Raw genomic sequence first — 20,383 nt, forward strand, 5'->3', positions numbered from 1 at the left:
GGCTGAGGCACAAGAATCGCTTGAACCCAGGAGGCAGAGGTTGCAGCGAGCTGAGATCACACCACTGCACTCCAGCCTGGGCAACAGAACAAGACTCAGTCTCAAAAAAAAAAAAAAATCAACTTAGCAAAATCCACAAGTTTTAAAGTTGAAAAATAATTAATCTATCACCAGTTTCTAATTGACACTCATCCAGTTCAACCATAAACCCCAAAATATCAATAAGCCTTCATGTAAATATGCATTAGATCTTCATTTCATCAGCCTTCCATGATTTGTATGATTTGTATGAATGATTATCACTTCTCTTACTTAAAACATAACTAATACACATCTTACTATTTCTCAATTCCAAAGAAACTGTTTTAAAGAAAAAGGTGAAAATACATATAGGAATGTGCCCACTAAGCTACAAGTTTACCTGTAAAGATGTAATTGATCCTGTGTGTCCTTGGAGCACAGCAACTGGGGCACAAGTTCTCAAGCACCACACTCTAATAATTTTATCACAGCTCCCCGCAGCAATCATTGTATTCTCATAGTTTACTGCCATATCTGAAATTTCTGCAGAATGACCTCTTAATGTAGATAACAAGCGGCCATTATGTGTTGACCAAATCTTTACCAAACAGTCATCTGAACCCTAAGAAAAAATATATCCAAAAATTAATGTTAGTACAGCAAATCTTTTAAATATTAAAAGAATACCTTTTATATGCCATCCAAATTAACTTTAACTCTTTCCAACTATAGAATACTCTCTTATTTATGTAATAAATTATGACTATGGTCAGAACACCTATGGAATAATAGTATTTTTCTTTAAGGCAAAGACAGTCTACATAAAGATACTGCCGAGTTATCATTTCTACGGGTCAGACTCCATTACCAATACTATTTTCCCCCAAGTTCTCTGCAAAGTAGTAAGTCCAACTCAAAGTTCACGGCTCTCTTATATCAACTAACAATGGTTAAATGTTAGTCTAGGCCAGGCACAGTGGCTCACGCCTGTAATCCCAACACTTTGGGAGGCCCAGGTGGGCGGATCACAAGGTCAGGAGATCGAGACCATCCTGGCTAAGGCAGTGAAACCTTTCTACTAAAAAATACAAAAAATTAGCCGGGCGTGGTGGCTGGCACCTGTAGTCCCAACTACTGAAGAGGCTGAGGCAGGAGAATTGTGTGAACCCAGGAGACAGAGCTTGCAGTGAGCGGAGATTGCGCCACTGCACTCCAGCCTAGGTGACAGAGTGAGACTCCGTCTCAAAAAAAAAAAAAAAAAGTCTATTCACATCAAGCTATATAATGTGATGAATGTGATGAATGTTGGAACAGATCTATACTTCATAGTGTGAGAAACAGGACTAAGTGGCAATCCCAAAAACAAACAAAAGTGGTGGGAATAGCCTCCTCACGAACACAGTCTCAAGTTTACAGTACTAGCCAGCACCCATTCAAGAAACATTTGATTATCTACTCTTGAATTTTACACCCACAAAATGAAAGTTAAACTTCTCACCTCTCCTAACTTACGCTTAAAACATTAAAATGATAAATTCCAAATTTTTTCAGATAGGTTTTTAATACTTACTTGAACACTAATGGGTTATTTTATAATCAACCCATTTTCCTGAACCAGTGATTAATGTGAACATGAATCACTTGTAGAGGTCTGAGGAGCTTTTTATTTTGGGGGGTTTACAGTTAATACATATATTTAATTACAATGTAATCTAATTCAGTAAGTCTAGAATGTGCTAGAGGGAAAGTGTTAGGTATGTCTATGTTTTTTTTTTTTTTTTTTTTTTTTTTTTTGAGACGGAATCTCGCTCTGTCGCCCAGGCTGGAGAGCAGTGGGGCGATTTCTGCACACTGCAAGCTCCACCTCCCAGGTTCACGCCATTCTCCTACCTCAGCCTCCCGAGTAGCTGGGACTACAGGCGCCCACCACCACACCCGGCTAATTTTTCTGTATTTTTAGTAGAGATGGGGTTTCACCGTGTTAGCCAGGATGGTCTCGATCTCCTGACCTCGTGATCCGCCTGTCTCGGCCGCCCAAAGTGCTGGGATTACAGGCGTGAGCCACCGCGCCCGGCCAGGTATGTCTATTTTTAAGCATCCTTAAATATCACATTTAAGAACGACTACTCTAAATCACTGTCTTTCAAAACAGCACAGAGTCCTATCTTCAGCTGAAGCACTTATTAAAAATACAAATTCGTGAGACCCACACCATACCTACTGAGTCAAAATCTCTGAGGATGGGAAACAGAAACTAAGATTTCCTAGATGATTCTGAAGCACACTAAAGTACTCTAGATGACATCAAATCAAGTTTAAAATTTTTACTCACTGTAAAGATTCTATGTCCTGTCCTATCAAATGCTACACAGTAAACAGCAGATAGATGTCCGAGAATCCTTCTGTGCATTTTTATATGCTGATACATAGTTCCTGGAAATGCTGTACTAAAAGTGGAACACCCTGTGAGTTGTTTTCCTCGATGTATCTCCACTAGGAAATAAAAACAATGAAAATGGTTAAGGGAGAGCCAATAAGGAAAAATCTAAGAAAAACTCAAATAACAATTTCTAGAGGGTCACAAAAATCTATGTTCAAGAAGCCCTAATGACACAATTTCTTCCCAATTCTATTCTTCTGTATTCAGTAACATAGACTTCTTACTATAAAAAGATTTTTTATTAATTTTATTTTTAGTAATTATTTTAACAATAATTTGACATTTGATACTTATTACTATTAAAACAACATTTCAACCAGTATTTCCTTTTAAATTTTAATACAGCATTTATAAAGGTTGTTGAGAAATTTAAAAACAATTATTTCAGGCATCTCAAAGGCCAACCTTACTTACCAAGATTTGGTGGGGAACCATAATTCACTGGCATTTCAGGAGGTCTTCCTCTATGAAGAGCAGCAAAGGCAGAGCCCTTCCAAACTGTGTGCCTGCAGTCTTTAAAATGAATTTTAGATACACATAAAATCTTGAAAGTTAACCCCAAGAAAGATTTTATAGAATACTTACGTATATTGTAATAAACTGTTTATTCAACATTTTACCAACTAGTATACTTTAACAGAAAAGCCCTGGAGGTTTATTAGACTATTTCTGAAGAAAAAGAAAATTAAGACATCTCAGATACAGCAGCAACAACAACTAACATTTGTGTAGCACTTTACAATTCACAAAGTGCTTTCAACATACATTAGCTCATTGAATCCTCACAACAACCCTGTGAGGTAGGTATTTTTGCCAATTTACAAGTGAGGTAACTGAGGCTCAAAGGTTCCAGGACCTTTAAAGAGATCCACAGCAAATGATTGGTAAAAGATGGACCATAAAACCAGATCTTTTGACTCCAAGTCCCATTTAATGCCAAGTGTTTATTTTTCAATGTAGAATTATATCATACAATACTAAAGATGAAAGGTCTTACAACTGATCCAACTTTTCAAAAATGGAAGCTTTTATAAGGAAAAAGTTCTTTGATTTATATGAAAATTCATGACTTGTTCAGTTTTAAAATTAATTTGGCCAATACTACCATGACTTTAGTCTCTATCTTTAGGAAGTACCAATAAATTATATAGCTTTCCCTTCATTGTAGGATCACAGAAAATCCTCTACTGAAGAGCACATACGTAGGATCTGTGACTCTGAACACTAATTCAAAGTCCATCCCTCCTTGACCTACCAGCAAATGCACTAAGAAAAAAAAGTCTGCCCTCCTCTATAGGAGATAGCAGCAGAACATAGGTTTGAAGCAGTCACACTGTGCCAGAAATTAGTTTCTTCATAACTCAAAGAAGAAAGGGAAGGCATCATACTAAACCTCTACTGAGCCTCGGGTGCCCCAAACTAACAGACATATTGCATTTTACATGAATGGATTCATTACCACTATCATGACCAAAGAGCAGTTACAAGGCATCCTCCTGGGGTACCAGTACAAAACAAACAGAGAATACGCCCCTACCCTAGGGCAGCTTGCTGAAGACTCTTCTAAGGTCTGGCCAGTTCTAAATCACTGCTCATCACAAAACAACGACATGGAGCTTGACACAAGTAAAGAAAACAAAGGAAAACAGGCTACCAATTAACTACCATATAACCAGCTAAAATAGAATAATTACAAAGTGAATAGGGACACAGAAGAGGAAGAATATAAACAGTGTCCTGATTAGTGCCACAGGGTGACATGGCTAGAGCACTAAGAAACAACTAAAGCTAACAAACCAGTCTGGCACGGAACTAAGAGGGAGGGGTGTTCTTTCTCAGTTAAGCTTTATACTGGTGGTGCAGCTAAGAGTAGCATCACATCAGCAATAGCTCGTAATAAAAAATAATCATGGGATGAACTTGATGTATACTCAGCATCAGAAGAACCAACAATCTTTGCCCATTAGCAGTTTAGCCACATGTACACATATATTATATCACATACATATACTTAGTCTAAGTCATATATACCAAGCTAACAGAAAAAGAATAGCAATTTCAAACATTTTGCTAGCACATAACTTGGCAAAAAAATTAAATTAGTAAAAAAAGAACCATGCAGTTTTACATTTGTGGTGCTTGTTTTCAAGCTGCTACCAAATTTAGAAAATCACTTCCCTTTATAACAAAGGGCTTTCAGAAGCTAAATATCAAATGAAATACCTCTAGCATTTAAAGAGTTTATTAGACACATACAATTACATTCAATGAAGTTATGAGTGAGCTACAAAATGGAAAATTAAGAACTCACATTGATAAAACCTCAAACAACATCTCAGAATAAATTCAAGCTTTTTAGCTTAACATCTATATCTTTATCAACTTTTTAATGCAGAAGGACCCATTAAACACTTATGTAATAAAATTCAATGTTCTATGCTAAATGCAGAGAATTTTATAGTCCACAGCATGATTTATAGTTACATTATCACCTTTCTTCCACAATGCTTACATTACTTCACAATTATAATAATTATTAGGCTATTAATACAAAGCAGAACACTTCTTCAAATTAAGGTACCTTTTGCTGTACGTAGCAAAGACTGCCTTCCTGCACCAAGTAAAGAAGTGACTCTTGAAATACTGGGTGGAATTTCTTTATCCAACATAGGACCGATGCGCTGGCAGATTTGCAAAAGATGATCAGGAGCCACATGCTTATTGGACAAGACCTAGTTGGAGAGCAAGTTTTAATGACAACAGCTTAATAATATCAAAAACTATTAAATACTTAGGGATAAGTCTGGCAAAATGTGAAAAACATACACTGAAAACTGTAAAACATGCTGAGAGAAATTAAAGACGACTTAAATAAACAATAAGCTGATCTACAGATTTGAGCTACAGATTCAAACCTGTAACACTCAAAACTTCAGCAACATTTTTTTTTGTAGAAATTGACAATTTTGTTCTAAAATTTATATGCAAATGACCTGGAAAAGCACCTCTGAAAAAGAAAAAAGGTTGCAGAGCTAACAAAACTTAATCTCAAGACTTGAAATCAAGACTTTACTCAAAATTGCACTAACTGGGCCAGGGATGGTGACTCACACCTGTAATCTCAGCACTTTGTAAGGCCAAGGCAGGTGGATCACTTGAGATCAGGAGTTCGAGACCAGCCTGACCAACATGGTGAAACCCCATCTTTACTAAAAATACAAAATTAGCCAGGCATGGTGGTGCACACCTGTAGTCCCAGCTACTTGGGAGGCTGAGGCAGGAGAATCACTTGAACCCAGGAGGTGGAGGTTGCAGTGAGCTGGGATCGTGCCATTGCACTCTAGCCTGGGCAACAAGAAAAAAATATATATACATATTACGCTAACTCGCCTGTCTCAAAAAAAAAAAAATATATATATATGCTAACTGGCCTGTAAGTGAAGCATACATCTTTGAGAGAGATGTTAAGATATCAAAGATCCTATAAGACATCATTTAGTATCTAAATCATGGATAACTGGTTCTCAACAACATACTAGGCAGTAAAAAACATTAATTCTTTCAGTAAGTACTGACAGCCTATTAGGTGCCAGGAGCCATAAGTGGATATACCTATGGATTACTATAGACAAATATATGTCTGTTATAATTTTAAATGAAAAATAATCATTTATTTACTCCAACGTAAGAGATAAAAGATATTGCTCTCATCTCGACAATGAGAATAGGCTGGATAAACTTTAAAAAATGTATAAACCCATCACAGCTGAAGAAACAAAGAAAAATCTACATTAACTAATCCCACAAAGTACAAGCTTTTCTGGGAACAGAAAAGGGACTCAGGCTGGGCACGGTGGCTCACGCTTGTAATCCCAACACTTTGGGAGGCCGAGGCAGGTGGATCACTAGAGGTCAAGAGCTCGAGACCAGCCTGGCGGAAATGGTGACATCCCATCTCTACTAAAAAAAAAAAAACACAAAAATTAGCTGGGTGTGGTGGTAGGCGCCTGTAATCCCAGCTACTTAGGAGGCTGAGGTATGAAATCACTTGAACCTGGGAGGCGGAGGTTGCAGTGAACCAAGATCATGCTATAGCACTCCACAGCCTGGGCGACAAGAGTGAAACTCCATCTAAAAAAAATAAAGTTAAAGAAAAGGGACTCATAGCTGCTTACACCCCTAGCAGAGAGGCAGGAAGAACTGACCTCAGAAAAGAATAAGAAAAAACCACTCAAACCTCTAACAAACTTAATGGCTACTTGTGGCCGGCATGACTGATTAGAATCCTAAGGCGCCTCAGTTACAGTGAGTCTGCACACCTACCACAATTTTTTCCCATAGGCCTTCACCAACTGCATAGGGCCCAAACACTAAAGCCAGGGCAGCCCTGGAAGAAATGCACTGTAGTGGCCCTCCTAAGGCTAGAGATAGGACAACAGGGTGGAGAATGATCTCTTCTGACATGGAAAGCCTAGAGCAGGACGGCAAGGCAGAGCGAACTCTGTAGCAACCTAAAAAGTTGGCAGTCAGGTACAAAGTAGAAAAAGATCTCACAAAGTTTGGAAAGGTGGCAACTCCAGTGTAAAAAATAAGACATCTCAGAAATTTCATGAGGGCCAAATGTCAAACTCTGCTGGAAGGGAAAGTATTGATGCCACCCTCAAAGCATGGAAAGCCAGTGATTTACTGAATGTAACAAAGCTCAGAGATGATCAATTACAAATTAGATTGACCCTGTCTCACACACTAACTGCTTGAGAAAAGAGCACATCTTTACCAGAGGTAAATACATTACTGCAGCCTCTACTCTTTACACAAAAAGTTACAGCATACCTCAAAAAAATGATGAGATACACAACAAAGCTAGATATATGACCCATGGTCAAGAGGGGAAATGGTCAATAGAAGCAGACCTAGAGATGGCCCAGATGTTCAAAAATGCTTAGCTGTTATTTCTTCAAACTACTTCTCCCCTCTATCCTTTCCACTTGGGACTTTAATTACACATTAAACTATTTGATATCATACCACTTATTCAAAAAGCTCAGAGAACCCAAGAAAAATAAATGCAAAGAAAACCCACTTTGGGAGGCCAAGGCGGGCAGATTACGAGGTCAGGAGATCGAGACCATCCTGGCTAACACGGTAAAACCCTGTCTCTACTAAAAATACAAAAAAATTAGCCAGGCGTGGTGGCAGGTGCCTGTAGTCCCAGCTGCTGGGGAGACTGAGGCAGGAGAATGGCGTGAACCCAGGAGGCAGAGCTTGCAGTGAGCCAAGATGGCGCCACTGCACTCCAGCCTGGGTGACAGAGCAAGGCTCCCACAAAAAAAAAAAAAAAAGGAAACCACCTAGGTGCACATGTGAAAGGCAGCTTCTGACATGCCCGCTAATAGTGCCCAAACCTCTTGGTAGTCAGACTTGTGAAATCCCCTCCTCATTTACTTCAGAAAACAGTAACATTGAGAGGATACTACTTCTATGATTAGGTTACAATTGTGACTTCTGTCTTGCTAAGACTCTACTGCCTCGTCAGCTTTCATCTTTTGATAACTCAAGCTATCACACTGGAAAGACCAAAAGGGCGAGGAACTGAGAGTGGCCAATAGTCAGGTAGAAACTGAGGCCCTCAGTCAAACAACCCTCCAGGAACCGAATCCTGCCAAAACTACATGAGCTTGGAAGCCTATTCCTCCCGTCAAGCCTTCAGCTAAAACCCCAGTTCTGCCAATATTTTGACTGCACCTTCAGAGAAAAGGAGACAGGGAACCCATCTGAGCTGTGTCTGGACCGCTGACTTACAGAAACTGGCAGATAACAACAAATTAGTGTAGTTTTAAGCTGCTAAATTTTGGGGTAATTTGTTATACAGCAATAGATCATGACTACAGGACAACATAGTAAAACTGCTGAAAATCAAAGACAAAATAAAAATCCTAAAAGCAACCAGACCAAAAACAACATTATTTTCAAAGGAGCAATAAGACTGCTAAATTTCCAACATTAGGAAGGCATAAGGCAGTAGAACATCTTTACTGTGCCGAAAAAAAAAAAAAAAGGACTATGAATCAGAATTCCATAGCTACTGAAGTCACTGTCAACAAACCTTTGTTAAAAAGCTTTGTGTGTTTTTTTTTTTTTTTTTTTTTTTTGAGACAGTCTTGCTCCGTGGTCCAGGCTGGAGTGTAGTGGCCCCAATGCTGGATCACTGCAACCTCCACCTCCCAGGTTGAAGTGATTCTCCTGCCTCAGCCTCCCAAGTAGCTGGGATTACAAGCACACGCCACCACACCCAGCTAATTTTTGTATTTTTAGTAGAGAAGGGGTTTCACCATGTTGGCCAGGCTGGTCTCGAACTCCTGACCTCAGGTAATCCACCCGCCTCAGCCTCCCAAAGTGCTGGGATTACAGGCGTGAGCCACCAAGCCCAGCCAAACCTTCATTAAAAGAAATAACAAAATAAGTTCTGCAGACAGAAGAAAAATTACCACAAATAGGTCCCATGGAAGTGGAGGAAAAAATTTAAAATACCAGAAAAGATGTATAGGTAGGTAAGCAAGTGATTATTGACTTTAAAACAACAGTAACAACATCTTGAAACTTTTATAATATGTGGTAAGGCCGGGCTGAGAGCAGTGGCTCAGACTTGTAATCTCAGCACTTTGGAAAGCTGAAGTGGGCAGATCACCTGAGGTCAGGAGTTCAAGACCAGCCTGGCTAACATGGTGAAACCCCACCTCTACTAAAAATACAAAAATTAGCCAGGCATGGTGGCACATGCTTGTAATCCCAGCTACTTGGGAGGCTGAGGCACAAGAATCACGAATCTGGGAGGTAAAAGTTGCAGTGAGCCAAGGTCACACCACTGCACTCACTCCTAGGTGACAGAGTGAGACTCCGTCTTAAAAAAAAAAAAAAAAAAAGTAAGGCCAGGCATGGTGGCTCATGCCTGTAATCCCAGCACTTTGGGAGGCCCAGACAGGCGGATCACTTGAGGCCAAGAGTTCAAGACCAGCCTGGGCAACATGGCAAAACCTCATCTCTACTAAAAATACAGAAAGTAGCTGGGTGTGGTGGCATGCTCCTGCAATTCCAGCTACTTGGGAGGCTGAGGCAGAGAACTGCTTGAACCCAGGAGACAAAGGTTGCAGTGAGCCGAGATCACACCACCACACTCCATCCTGCACAACAGAGACTCCGTCTCAAAAAAAAAGATTACTAGCTCAAAGCGACAGGATGGTGACAACTAACAGTTATAACTTTATTTATTTGGGAAGTGGTAAAGGAACTAATGTAAAGTAATGTATATTGGTAATGTATATTGAAACCTCTAGGGAAACCACCAAAAGAATAATAAAAGGATATATAACTAAAAAGAAATAAAGAGGCCGGGTGCAGTGACTCACACCTGTAATCCCAGCACTTTGAGAGGCCAAGACAGGTGGATCACTAATGGTCAGGAGTTCAAGACCAGCCTGGCAAATGTGGTGAAACCCCATTTGTACTAAAACTACAAAGATTAGCCGGGCATGGTAGCAGGTGACTGTAATCTCAGCTACTTGAGAGGCTGAGGCAGGAGAATCGCTTGAGCCCAGGAGGCAGAGGTTGCAGTAAGCCAAGATCACACAACTGCGCCCCAGCCTGGGCAACAGAGCGAGACTCCATCTCCAAAAAAAAAAAAAAAAAAAATTATTAAAAAAATGAAGAAAAGGAATAGTTAGGCCAGGCGAGGTCCACTTTGGGAGACTGACGGCAGATCATTTGAGCTCAGGAGTTCCAGACCAGCCTGGGCAACATGGCAAAACCCCATCTCTACAAAAAAAATAGCCAGGTGTGGTGGTGCATGCCTGTGGTTCCAGCTACTCAGGAGACTAAGGTTGGAAGACGGCTTGAGCCCAGGAGGCTGAGGCTGCAGTGAGCTGTGATCATGCCACTGTACTTCAGCCTGGGTGACAGAGTGAGACCCTGTCTCAAAAAAAAAAAGAAAAAGAAAAGAAATACAGAGTAGTTGCCAGGCGCAGTGGCTCACACCTGTAATCCCAGCACTATGGGATCCTGAGGCGGGTGGATCACCTGAGGTCAGCAGCTCTAGACCAGCCTGGCCAACGTGGTTAAACCCTGTTTCTATTAAAAATACAAAATGAGCCAGGCGTGGTGGCGGGCGCCTGTAATCCCAGCTACTCAGGAGGCTTAGGCAGGAGAATCGCTTGAACCCGGGAGGCGGAGGTTGCAGTGAGCCGAGATTTCGCCATTGCACTCCAGCCTGGGCAACCAGAGTGAAACTCTTTCTCAAAAAAAAAAAAAAAAAAAAAGAGAAATACAGAATAAGTAGAATACTTTTTACCTTTTTGAAATCCTGCTGTCATCTTAATACTTGATTAATCAAAAAAAAAAAGTGAGAGAAAGAATAAAGAAAAAATGAGATAAAGAACAGGTAGACTTAAACCCAATTATGTTTAATTATGTTAAATACAAATGAGCAAGGCACAGTGGCTCACACCTATAATCCCAGCACTTTGGGAAGCCAAGGCGGGAGGACTGCCTGAGTCCAAGAGTTCAAGATGAGCCTAGGCCATATAGTGAGACAGTCTCTAGAAAAAAAAATTTTTTTTAATTAGCCGGCCATGATGGCATACACGTATAGACTCAGCTACTCAGGAGGCTGAGGCAGGAGGATCCCTTGAACCCAGGAGGTCAAAGCTGCAGTGTGCCATGATCATGCCACTGCACTCCACCCTGGGCAACAAAGTGAGAACTTGTCTGGAAAACAAAAAAAAAATACAAATGACCAAAACATCACTAAAAGAATGCACATAAAACTACACGCTGTTTACGGGAGATAAACTTTAAACATGTGAACACAAAAAGGTTGAAAGGAAAAGGACAGAAAAAGATACACTGTGCCATTGCTAACCAAAAGAAGTTGGTGTGGCTATATTAATGTAAGGCAAAGCAGATGGGAAGACAAGAAGATTATAATGAATAAAGCATTTTCTAATATTTAAGGTCAATTCAATAGGAAAACAAAAATCCTAAATTTGAATGTACCTAATAACAGCTTCAAAAAAGGACAAAAAGAGCAACAAATCCACAGTCATATTTGGAGATTTTTTTTTTTTTTTTTTTTGAGATGGAGTCTTGCTCTGTCGCCCAGGCTGGAGTGCAGTGGCACAATCTCCGCTCACTGTAACCTCCGCCTCTTGGATTCAAGCAATTCTCCTGCCTCAACCTCCCAAGTAGCTGGGACTACAGGCATGTACCACCATGCCTGGCTAATTTTTCTATTTATAGTAGAGACGGGTTTCACAAGGTTGATCAGGCTGGTCTTGAACTCCTGACCTCAAGTGATCTGCCCGCCTTGGCCCCCTAAAGTGTTGGGATTACATGCGTGAGCCACCACATCTGGCCGTAGTTGGAGATTTTAACAAATCTTTCTCAGGAATCAATACAGTAAGCTTGCAAAAATCCATAAGGATACATATGATCTGAAAATAAACAAGTCACTCAACTTTTATCCCTTAGATACAAATAACTTCTTCTTGTTGGGTGAGCCTATGGAAACTAGTAACTACTCTCTTTTAAGGTAGCACAGCCAGCCAGGCACAGTAGTTCACACCTGTAATCCCAGCACTTTGGGAGGCCAAGGTCGGTGGATCACCTGAGGTCAGGAGTTTGAGACACCAGCCTGACCATTATGGTGAAATCCCATCTCTACTAAAAATACAAAAATTAGGCCTGGTGCAGTGGCTCACACCTGTAATTCCAGCACTTTGGGAGGCTGAGGTGGGTGGATCACAAGGTCAAGAGATAGAGACCATCCTGGCCAACACGGTGAAACCCTGTCTCTACTAAAAATTCAAGAATTAGCTGGGCATGGTGGCATGTGCCTGTAGTCCCAGCTACTCAGGAGGGCTGAGGCAGGAGAATCACTTGAACCCAGGAGGCGGAGGTTGCAGTGAGCCAAGACTGCGCCACTGCACTCCAGCCTGGCGACGGTGCAAGACTGTCTCAAAAAGAAAAAAAAAAAAAAAACCTTATCGGGGTGTGGCTGCGCCCTCCTGTAGTCCCAGCTACTTGGGACACTGAATCGGGAGGATCACCTGTGCCCAGGAGTTTGACGCTGCAGTGAGCCATTCATTATTGGGTCACTGCAGTCCAGCCTGGACAACAAGAGACCCAAACTCAAAAAACAAAGAATTGAGACTAGTTATCTTTAAGTATCTTTTTTTTTTTTTTTTGAGACCGAGTCTCACTCTGTCACCAGGCTGGAGTGCAGTGGTGCAATCTTGGCTCACTGCAACCTCTGCTTCCCGGGTTCAAGTGATTCTCCTGCCTCAGCCTCCCGAGTAGCTGGGACTACAGGCGCCCGCCACCACGTCTGGCTAATTTTTTGTATTTTTAGTAGAGATGAGGTTTCACCATGTTGGCCAGGATGGTCTCGATCTCTTGACCTTGTGATCCACCCGCCTCAGCCTCCCCAAGTGCTGGGATTACAAGTGTGAGCCACCGCACCTGGCCTAGATATCTTTAAATATCTCACCCTGCATTGGGCCTGTCAAATCCATGTTATTTAATTGTAATTTTCATGTATACGAGTGGTAAAGACAGAGGAGGAAGGAAATATAACTACAGAACTGAGCCTAAGAATTCGGAAGGACTAGGTTTGTAGAGGGGTTTATTTAAAGGGAAAGAGATTAAGAGACTTAATAATTGAATAATGTGTTACATTTTTGTGGGCCATTTTCTTTGACCGGAAAAAATACCAGAAGATCCTTATATTTAGTGTATCATTAGAAAACTCATTAAGATTTAAAGAAATATATTGGAGTAGTCCTTTTGTGTGAGGAACAGACTTAAAAGTTATTTATACTGAAATCAGAATTTGGTTTATTAGAATTGCAAGTAGTCATTTTTCTTAAACCTTCAAGTACAAATCTTATTTATAAATCCAGAAACAAATAGTTACTTTTATTCTTTGGTTACTGTTTAATTGATAATTGAAAATTTGTTTATTTATTTTGAGATGGAGTTTTGCTCTTGTTGCCTAGGCCGGAGTGCAATGGCTTGATCTCAGACCATTGCAACCTCTGCCTCCTGGGTTCAAGTGATTCTCCTGCCTCAGCCTCCCAAGTAGCTGGGATTACAGGCACCTGCCACCACGCCCGGCTAAGTTTTGTATTTTTAGTAGAGACGGGGTTTCACCCTGTTGGCCAGGCTGGTCTTGAACTCCTGACCTCAGGTGATCCACCTGCCTCAGCCTCCTAAAGTGCTGGGATGACAGGTGTGAGCCACTGAGCCTGGTTATAATTGAAAATTTAATCATAAAATATTTTATACCACTTACACATTTAATCAAATTTCCTTGGGCATTTTTCACTACACTTAGAAGCGTACAGTTATTTTAATCACCTCAGCAGGGTTAACTTAGACAAACCTAACCATGAATTTTCTAAGACTAAACTTGTAAATAGATTTCAAATTTATTTTGTAATTTTTTTTACTCTATCAAACAAATAAATGTAACTCAGTAATTACAAAACTTGTTACTACATCAGAATATGTACTTGTATGAATATCAATGTATTATATGTATATATTTTATGTATATATGTTTGTATGTATATATTGCACATATTATATGTATATATACTTGTGTGAATACATTTGTACTTTCCTTTTTCTTCATCTTCGCTTGTTAACCTTCCTGGGTTATGACTTAATTACCCAAACTGGGAGGAGACTGGTATTACCATTTTAAGTACTCTACAGGATTAAGGAATCAGGTTATGATAGAAGATTATAGGCTATGACTTGGAACTTGGGTGCACTGCCAGATACTTTAAGTCTTAGGCTGAGCCTTTTTTAATAGTAAAACCCCTTTAAAACAAAAACCTCTTTTACAATTTTGTATTTCCCACAAGTCTTGAAACTAATCCCATTATCATTTAATTTTCACAGTGGAACTCTAAAAGACCCTTCCATCCTGAGGGTAGCTAATTTCTTTCCTCTATAGATTCTGTATTGTCCTTGACTATAGAGATCTATCATTCTATAGGTATTTCATTTGTAACTTGGGGACACTTAATGATCATGGTAGTGTGATTGATGAGCTACAGTCTAGCAATATAGCAGTGCAGGTAGAGACTAGAAACTTGGGAGCTGGACACGGAGGCTCACACCTGTAAACCAAGGTTTTGTAAACTTTTTTTCTACAGATGAGGTGTTGCTTATGTTGCCCAGGCTGCTCTCAAACCCCTGGCACCAAGTGATCCTCCCACCTCAGACTCTCAAGTCTCTGTGTAGCCTTAGCCACCACACTTGGCTTCAATTCTTATAAGAAGCAAAAGTAGGCCTGGCAAGGTGACTCATGCCTGTAATCCCAGCACTTTGGGAGGCCAATGCAGGTGGATCACTGAAGGTCAGGAGTTCGAGACTAGCCGGGCCAACATGGTGAAACCCCGTCTCTACTAAAAACACAAAAAGTAGCCAGGCATAGTGGTACATGTCTGTAATCCCAGCTACTCAGGAGGCTGAGGCAGGAGAACTGCATGAACCTGTGAGGCAGAGGTTGCAGTCAGCCAAGATTATACCACTGCACTCCAGCCTGGGCAACAGAATGACACCTTGTCTCAAAAAAAAAAAAAAAAAAAAGCAAAAGTACCAAAAATACTCTTGCCCCCAAATACAGGTTGGAATAACAGCATGGTCACAAGTTTAAGATAAATTGTGGCTTTACAAACACTAATACTAGAATCATCTAAAAAGCTTTTTAAAATACTGATGTCCAGTCCCACCACAAAGATTCTGATTTAACTGGTTTGGGGCATACTCTGGGCAACCAGATTTTATAAAGCTCCCCAGATGATTCTCATCTGAAGATGAAAACCACTAAGAAAAAGGAACAAGTTACCATCATAAGGAACAATAAGACAAATACAGAATGTAAAACATTCTACAGGATAAATGATTTGGTCTCCAGTAAATCAATGGCATAGAAACAAGACTATTCAAGATAAAAAGAGATTTAAGATAATCAGGGAAGGGGCAGGATGCGGTGAGTCACACCTATAATCCCAGCACTTTGGGAGGCCGAGGCGGGCAGGTCACAAGGTCAAGAGATGGAGACCATCCTGGCCCACATGGTGAACAGCCGTCTCTACTAAAACTACGAAAATTAGCTGGGCATAGTGGTGTGCGCCTGTAGTCCCAGCTACTTGGGAGGCTGAAGCAGGCAAATCGCTTGAACCCGGGAGGCAGAGGTTGCAGTGAGCCGAGATCACACCACTGCACTCCAGCCTGGCGACAGAGTGAGACTCCATCTCAAAAAAAAACAAAACAAAAATCAGGGAAGGTGTGGTGGCTCACACCTGTAATTCCAACTTTGGGAGGAGCATTTGAGACCAGCCTGGACAACATAGCGAGTCTTTTTCTCTAGGGGAAAAAAAAAAAACTTAGCCAGGTGTGGTGGCACATGCCTGTGGTCCCAGCTACTCAGGAGGTGGAGGGCTGAGGTGGGAAGATTGCTTGAGCCTGGGAAATGGAGGCTTCAGTGAGCTGTGATCACACCACTGCACCCCAGCCTGGGTAATAGAGTGAGACCCAGGGTGGGGCGGGGAGAGAATCAATCAGTCAATGCATGTATGGACCTTTCTCAAGACCAAATCAAACTAATTGTAAAAAGACACCCAGGGAGGCCGGGCGCGGTGGCTCACGCCTGTAATCCCAGCACTTTGGGAGGCAGAGGCAGGCGGATCATGAGGTCAGGAGATCGAGACCATCCTGGCTAACACAGTGAAACCCCGCCTCTACTAAAAATACAGAAAAATTAGCCGGGCGTGGTGGCGGACGCCTGTAGTCCCAGCTACTCGGGAGGCTGAGGCTGGAGAATGGCGTGAATCCGGGAGGCGGAGCTTGCAGTGAGCCGAGATCGCACCGCTGCACTCCAGCCTGGGCGACAGAGCGAGACTCCGTCTCAAAAAAAAAAAAAAAAAAAAGACACCCAGGGAACAAAAAGAAAATCTGGATATGGACTCTGTGATATTGGCACTTGATGATATAATAAGCAGTCCTTATTTTTTAGAGATGAACTCTGACAAACTTAGAGATGAAATGTAGTGTCTGGAATCTGCCTTAAAACATTCCAACACATTAACCAGTGAAATGAATGGCTTTCTGGAATTTGCTTAAAAACAAGGGAGCAGACAATATGCAACATTCTCTGATAATCACTGAAGTTGGAAAATGGGCACCTAGTGGGTGGGTCATTTATTCTATTATTTTTGTTTGAAGATGTCCATTGATAGTTTCTTAAAACATATGTATACCTCAAACAGAAACCAAAGTAAATATAGCAAGTTAGTAACTTTCAAAATTCAAATTTGTTGGCCAGGCGCAGTGGCTCACGCCTGTAATCCCAGCACTTTGGGACACAGAGGCGGGCAGATCACCTGAAGTTAGGAGTTCAAGACCAGCCTGGCCAACATGGTGAAACCCCTTCTCCACTAAAAATATAAAAATTAGCCAGGTGCCTGTAATCCCAGCACTTTGGGACACAGAGGCAGGCAGATCACCTGAAGTCAGGAGTTCGAGACCAGCCTGGCCAACAGGGTGAAACCCCATCTCTACTAAAAATACAAAAATTAGCCAGGTGCCTGTAATCCCAGCTACTGAGGAGGCTGAGGCAGGAGGATCACTTGAACCCAGGAGGCAGAGGTTGCAGTGAGCCGAGGCTGCTCCTCAAAACAGACTGTCTCAAAAAAAAAAATTATTATTATTCAAATTTGATGATATACAGCGGTGCATTACATTATTCTCATTTGTGTACATCTGAAATACTTCTTTTTTGTTGTTGCGTTTCGAGACAGGGTCTCGCTCACCTAGGCTGGAGCACAGTGGCTTGATCAGGGCTCACTACATCCTCAACCTCACTTTAGGCAGGTCTAGAACTCCTGGCCTCAAGCGTCCTGCCAAAGTGCTGGGATTACAGGTGTTAGCACCGCAGCTGGCCTGGAATACTTCTTAATAAGGTATTTTTAAAAGACTTTGAAAGTTTAGAAACGATACATATACCATTAACAAAAGAATAATTCTCTACACATGAGGCTCATCATCACTCAGTCCTGGGGGACTGGAGGGCAGAGAGGAAGGTAAAAAAAGAAAGGACACCCACCAGACAGACCAAATCAGGGAGGCAATGATAGATGCCATATGTCATAGCCAAATCACAGCCATATTATCACAGAATTTAAGTGATTTTAAACAATAGTAAGTAGGGTTTTAAGCAATTCTACCAACAAAAGCCAAAAAATTTATATAAATTTTTTTTTTAAAAAAAAGAAACTAGGCCTTGCTCCATCTCCCAGGCTGGAATGCAGTGGCAGGAGGATAGTTCAATGCAGCCTCAAACTCCCAGAGTCAAGTGATCCTTCCGCCTCAGCCTCCGAAATAGCTGGGACTACAGGCACGCACCACCACAGCCGCCTAATTTTCTGTTACTTATTCTTTGTGGAGACAAGAGTTGGTCTGAACTCCTGGCCTCAAGTGATCCTCCCACCTCGGCCTCCTAATGTGCTGAGATTGCAGCCATGAGCCACTGCACCCAGCCCCTATAAATGTATTTTAAAAGTAACTTTTCCAGTAGTTACAGCACTACATTTGTTTCAAGTTATTTTCTCTCAGGTAGCACGACAACAGCGTCATAACCAGTAATGCTTTTCCGCTTCACCGATAAGGCTATATTATCCGTGAAGAAAACTAAAAGAGGGCATCCTTTAAATGTTTCCTCAACGTTTACAAAAATAAACTATCTCAAAATGTCAAACTCAACACATTGCCATCAGAATTTTTAGAACTCATTCCCTTGAAAACATCCACTGTTAAAGTGTTTACTTCAAAATCTAAGAAAGCAAATATTAAAATTATTTATTACTTGCACCAGGCTTCAAGTGTTAACTGTTCATGGAAATAACACATCCTCTGGTCTCTTCTGTTGTCTAATTCAAAACCAGTAATCTTCTACCACTTTTTTTTCTTCTTTTCACTTGCCACCATACTCTACCACTCAAGTGTTACAGGTCTTCCAACTGTGGTAAAAGATCACTCAGAAGCTCTTTTCTTTCTCAATTGTTTTCCTTATACAAGATGCTGAATATGGCCTGGCAATTAATGAATTCCTTTATCCTAATAACGAAACGGCAAAAATATATTCCTGAAAAATGTCTCCAGTAAAAACAAACGAATCCCTGCAACTGCTGTAACTATAGATAAAAGCAAGTTATATAGAAACATTAACCAAGTTCACAAAAGAAATGAGACTGTAATGCAAGATTAACCGAGCTCAAAAGAAAAGTGCCTATTTAAAGCACTTTATTGTGTTATCTACAAGATCAGTGTGAAACTCATCAATCAACTACTGCGTTCAACAAATATTGTACAGTAGAAAGGAGCACAAGCACTACAGTGGCATATTCATACAGCTGCAAGATTTTTATGACGCTGCTGACAAAACAAAAAATAAAAAGCTCAACACAAGAACATTTCTCCACCTTCAGAGACCAATGATTCTATTCCTAGGGAACAAGTGGGGGGACAGACCCGGGCGGGGCAAGAGCAGCGAGGCCAATCAGAGCGCGAGTTACAAGCGCGGTGGAGCGGGGAAGCGAATGAAACCGCCCAGTTGAATGGCTGGCTGCGCACGCCACACCCCCGCAGAGGCGGCCGCACCTGGAGCCCCACCCCTGCCGCAGGACCTCCGCGAGTCGCCCCCACCGCTCCGCCCCGCGCCGCCCCCAATGACTGTTTCCTGCCAAAACAAACCTGGCCGCCTCAAAAACAAAACAAAATCTTCAGCCGGGAACGCAGCTATCCCCGGGCCGCCCCCCAGTGCGGGTCACACTTTGCACCCCACGGGCCGGGGTCCCCGCGAGGGGAAGGGGCGGGGGCGGGGGGCGGTGCACGGAAAACCCGGGGAGCAAACGTGCCCAATGCTCACCAACTCCTCGTAGCTCCTGTTGTGCTCGTTGCCCTCCCAGTCCAATCTCTTCGGCAACAACTGGAAAGACACGAAACGCACACGAGTGACCACCCCTCCGGCGCGGGGGGGGCGGGGGGCGGGGGGCCGGGGGCGGGCGGCGGGCGGCGGGCGGGGGGCGCGGGCGAGCATCCCTCAGGGCAAGGTCGGCAGGAGGAACCCGAGGGAGCGCGGGGACGGGCGCGCACAGACCTGGTACTGCTCCAGCTCCTGCACCAGCACCTGCGGCCGAGAGACGCGCGGTCAGGGGTGGGGTCGGGCCCGGGGCGCTCCCGTTTCACCCCCGCCCACCACCCGCGACCCCCGGCGGCGGGGACACTGGGGACGCCAAGTCCGCAGCCGCCCGCGGGCCCGCACTCACCTGGGCCGCTCTCCGACACGGGCCCGCCGATAGGTACCGGGCGATAAGGAAGTACAGCTCTGCGGGAAGACAAGGAGTCAGGTCAAGCCCCGGCGGGGAGGGGAGGGGGACGGGGCCAGGGGAGCCGGGGGAGCCCGGGGAGCCGGGGAAGCCGAAGCAGCCGGGAGCGCCAGGGCGGGGGTGGCACGGCCTCGCGTCTTACCCGACTCGATGAGAGGCACCGGGCGTCGGGCGGACGACGGCTCCGCCATGGCCGGGCGCGGGGCGGGAGGCGGGAGCGAGCGAGCGAGCGGAGCGTGTAGGCCGCGCCGAGGCCTGACCGGGCTGGCGTCCCCTCTTCTCAGGCGCGCGCCGCCGCCGCCGCCGCCGCCGCCATACCGTGCGCGCCGCCTGGACCGACGCCTCCGCGGGGGAGGAAGTAGTTCCTCCGCGGGAGACGAAAAGTAGTCCCTCCGCGGGGGGCGGGGGTTTGCGCCAAGAGAGGACCGGAGCTCGTGTCCCGCCCGGGGAGGCGAACCTCGCTCAGCTCTCT

At 43.1% G+C, this 20,383-nt stretch overlaps 1 protein-coding gene across 7 annotated transcripts in view, besides 5 other annotated features; it reads right to left on the reverse strand.

Annotated features, from left to right (window-relative positions):
• The window catches only part of BRWD1 (bromodomain and WD repeat domain containing 1), a 137,037-nt gene that overhangs the window by 109,214 nt on the left and 7,440 nt on the right, over positions 1-20,383 (reverse strand). For 5 of the 7 annotated variants that reach the window (XM_011529611.2, NM_018963.5, NM_033656.4 and 2 more), the window contains exons 1-8: positions 20,054-20,243; positions 19,852-19,910; positions 19,683-19,712; positions 19,452-19,511; positions 5,043-5,193; positions 2,876-2,974; positions 2,354-2,514; positions 422-643 (exon numbers count right to left, since the gene is read on the reverse strand). In XM_011529611.2, coding sequence (XP_011527913.1) covers positions 422-643; positions 2,354-2,514; positions 2,876-2,974; positions 5,043-5,193; positions 19,452-19,511; positions 19,683-19,712; positions 19,852-19,910; positions 20,054-20,102 — 831 coding nt within the window. In that variant the 5' untranslated portion in view covers positions 20,103-20,243. Of the gene's footprint in view, positions 1-421; positions 644-2,353; positions 2,515-2,875; positions 2,975-3,047; positions 5,194-19,451; positions 19,512-19,682; positions 19,713-19,851; positions 19,911-20,053; positions 20,244-20,383 lie in introns of those variants that run through there. The other 2 variants (XM_017028373.2, NM_001007246.3) reach the window with 2 other exon arrangements.
• Positions 19,017-19,416: a silencer, noted in NCBI's record as "silent region_13321". NCBI's record gives its function as "represses an Ori minimal core promoter by ATAC-STARR-seq in GM12878 lymphoblastoid cells {active_cell/tissue: GM12878}" and the evidence as "EXISTENCE:reporter gene assay evidence [ECO:0000049][PMID:35858748]".
• Positions 19,437-19,516: a silencer, noted in NCBI's record as "silent region_13322". NCBI's record gives its function as "represses an Ori minimal core promoter by ATAC-STARR-seq in GM12878 lymphoblastoid cells {active_cell/tissue: GM12878}" and the evidence as "EXISTENCE:reporter gene assay evidence [ECO:0000049][PMID:35858748]".
• Positions 19,707-19,956: a silencer, noted in NCBI's record as "silent region_13323". NCBI's record gives its function as "represses an Ori minimal core promoter by ATAC-STARR-seq in GM12878 lymphoblastoid cells {active_cell/tissue: GM12878}" and the evidence as "EXISTENCE:reporter gene assay evidence [ECO:0000049][PMID:35858748]".
• Positions 20,067-20,126: a silencer, noted in NCBI's record as "silent region_13324". NCBI's record gives its function as "represses an Ori minimal core promoter by ATAC-STARR-seq in GM12878 lymphoblastoid cells {active_cell/tissue: GM12878}" and the evidence as "EXISTENCE:reporter gene assay evidence [ECO:0000049][PMID:35858748]".
• Positions 20,197-20,306: a silencer, noted in NCBI's record as "silent region_13325". NCBI's record gives its function as "represses an Ori minimal core promoter by ATAC-STARR-seq in GM12878 lymphoblastoid cells {active_cell/tissue: GM12878}" and the evidence as "EXISTENCE:reporter gene assay evidence [ECO:0000049][PMID:35858748]".

This window comes from Homo sapiens, chromosome 21 (assembly GCF_000001405.40).
Source record: "Homo sapiens chromosome 21, GRCh38.p14 Primary Assembly".
Lineage (NCBI taxonomy): Eukaryota > Metazoa > Chordata > Mammalia > Primates > Hominidae > Homo > Homo sapiens.